We start from the raw sequence: 2983 nt of genomic DNA, 5'->3' as shown, positions 1-2983 counted from the left end.
CTTTGAGGGACTTTTGTTTGGCCACCAGTCAAAGTGGCCTCTCCAGAAAATCCAGAAAGACAGGTGATGAAGAGCTTTGAAAATTAGCTGGAGTGGCTGGGCACAGTGGCTCACGCCTGTAATCCTAGCACTTTGGGAGGCCATGGCGGGTGGATCACGAGGTCAGGAGTTTGAGACCAGCCTGGCCAACATGGTGAAACCCCATGTCTACTAAAAATACAAAGAATTAGCTGGGTGTGGTGGCGGACGCCTGTAATCCCAGCTACTCGGGAGGCTGAGGCAGGAGAATCGCTTGAACCCAAGAGGTGGAGGTTGCAGTGAGCCAAGATCATGCCATTGCACTCCAGCCTCAGTGACAGAGCAAGTCCCCGTCTTGAAAAAAAAAAAGAAAAAAAAAAAAAGAAAATTAGTTGGAGTGTTTATGTCCTGGGGAAGACAATGGGGAGCCATGGAGTGTTCTGTGACAGTGAAATGATTCCAGCTGTGGAATTGCTGCTTGGAGCTGTGAGCTCCCAGACACAGGTCAGGAGGTGATTACAACGGGCCAGACTGGGCTGGATAATACAAAGTGACAACGATAGCTAACATTTATTGAACTCCTGCGATGCCCAAAGATGCGACAAAGGTTTTTCACTCGGTCCTCACCCCAGCCTCAGGACGCTGCTGCTGTTGTTCTCCCCATTTTGCAGATGTGAGAACTGAGGCTCAGCTGGGACGTGGATGCAGGTCTGTGTGATGTCAGGGCGGGTGTTCTTACCACGATGCTACGCTGCAGAGAAAGGCGGGTGGGGAGGTGAAGGCACCTGGGGAGGCATGGCCGAGGCACAGGTGCGGGATGAGGGGACTGGGCCATCCTTCCACACTGGAGACCCACCTCCCAACCAGGCCTTGGGCCAAGCTAGAGGATTAGAGACAAACTAGACACGGACCCCTCCTGGACAGTCTCATGGGGGTGACAGACACGTATCAAGAGCCTGGTGACAGAGCCTTGGGACTTATGGGAGAATTTGGGAGGGGTCGGGAGCTCTCTGGAGGAGGGGAAGCCCAGGCTGAGTCCTAAAGAATGAACAGCTGATCTGATGACAACGGGGAGCATTTCAGGCAGCAGGGACAGCATGTGCAAGGGCCCAGAGGCCTGGAAAGTCACTTCCTCTGGCTGGAGCAGAGGTGGGGGTGGAGAGGTGTGAGCCTGCAGGAGTGGGCAGGAACCGTGCCCCTGCAGCCTTCAGAGTCGAGGGATAGAGCTGACTCTGTAAGGGGGACTTACGCCCCTGCAGGGCCGTGAGCTGGGGGAGACACTTCATCACACCCACAGCCCCTGTGTGGGGTACGGCCGTCAAGAGCCATGCTGCAGCCCGGGCCTGGGAAGAGTCTGGAGCAGCACTCCAGGCAGGGGAGGGAAGAGCAGCGGGGGGGTCCTGCACTGGGAGAAGTGGGCAGATGTACCCTTTCTTGTGGAAGACGAGTGGCTGCAGGGTGTGGGAGGGGAAAGAGGTAGAGGAAGCAGGATGGCTGTGGCCACCTATGGGCGACAATTCCCAGGATGGAAGGTGGAACTCAGGGGCGCCCTGGCTCTGTGGGGATGTTTGTGGGCAGTGCTGGGGGGCTGGTTTAGAAAACCAGCCCAAGGGCCGGGCTCAGTGGCTCACATCTGTAATCTCAGCACTTTGGGAGCCTGAGGCAGGTGGATCACTTGAGGTCAGAAGTTCAAGACCAGCCTGACCAACAAGGTGAAACCCTGTCTCTATTAAAAGTACAAAAATTAGCTGGGTGTGGTGGTGCGTGCCTGTTATCCCAGCTACTCGGGAGGTTGAGGCAGGAGAATCGCTTGAACCCAGGAGGCGGAGGGTGCAGTGAGCTGAGAACCTGCCACTGCACTCCAGCCTGGGCAACAAAGCGAGACTCTGTCTCAAAAAAAAAGAAAAGAAAACCAGCCCAAGGACCCCTACTCTGCAGGTGCCCTGGATTGACCACGCCCAGCCTCAGCCCTCTCACCTGGAAGCTTGGTGCTCCCACCTGGGCCCTGCCACTGTGTCTGCAACCCCGTCCCCCCACCCCAGGGCTCTGGCTGGAATCCCAGATGGGTGGAGGCTGCTGGAGCTGCACCACAAGGCAGCGGTGGAGACAGCACATCCCGGAATCCTCCTTCCAGCCCTGAGAGGCAGAAACATCACAGGGGCCATTTTCAGAGGGGGAAACAGGCCTGGTGTCACATGCCCAAGGACACACAGCTGGTGTGGGATCCATCTGAAAGCCTCAGAGACTGTTCCCAGGGCTGCGTCACTGGTCCAGGCTGGGGAGGAGGGTGGTGGCAGGGTCCTTCCTGATTATTGCTCTCAGGTAACCAGCTCTCCCCTGCCTGCCTCTGTTCGGAGACGTCAAGCCTGGGGACATGGCCTCCTGGGGGATGGTGCCAGTGGGGAGACGGAGGGGGAAGGGCCCCACAGGGGGTGGGGGCACAAACCAAACTGTGGCATTCACAGGCAGTGCTGCCCTGCTCGCTGGGGAAGGGCCACACGCAGACAGCCTGCCCTGCACAGTGGCACATGGGCATACACTGTGCCCGGACTCAGCCACACGCAGCAGACATGGCCAACAACCGCAGCACTGCACACTGGGTCCCGCTCAGCCAGGAGCCAGGACCAGGGTGCGCACAGACCTTTGTGGCTGAGACCTTTAGGCTGAGTGGGCTTGGGTCTCTGTCTCCTAATTCCACTCCCATTACCCGGTTTGCTCCTCATTGAATGTTATGCAGTAGGTGCTATTGGCATCCCATTTTACAGATGAGGATGCTGAGACCCAGAGAGGATGACATGAGCAGTGCTTGGAATGTGCTGGGCACAGGGCCTGCCTACCCAGTAGATGTCCGGGAAAGACCAGCTACTCTCTTGCAAAGTGTTCTCACGCTCAACTGGTGAGAGGTGTCTTCACCATCCCCATGGGAGTGAGTGGGAAACCAAGACTCTCCTGGGGCGGGCACTGG

At 57.4% G+C, this 2983-nt stretch overlaps 1 annotated feature.

The window, feature by feature from the left end:
* Positions 1339-1874: an enhancer, noted in NCBI's record as "H3K4me1 hESC enhancer chr9:132120510-132121045 (GRCh37/hg19 assembly coordinates)". NCBI's record gives its function as "activates a minimal SCP1, AML or CMV promoter by ChIP-STARR-seq in primed H9 embryonic stem cells {active_cell/tissue: H9 hESC(primed)}" and the evidence as "EXISTENCE:reporter gene assay evidence [ECO:0000049][PMID:30033119]".

This window comes from Homo sapiens, chromosome 9, assembly GCF_000001405.40.
Source record: "Homo sapiens chromosome 9, GRCh38.p14 Primary Assembly".
Lineage (NCBI taxonomy): Eukaryota > Metazoa > Chordata > Mammalia > Primates > Hominidae > Homo > Homo sapiens.
This window is presented reverse-complemented; position numbering and strand designations above follow the sequence as displayed.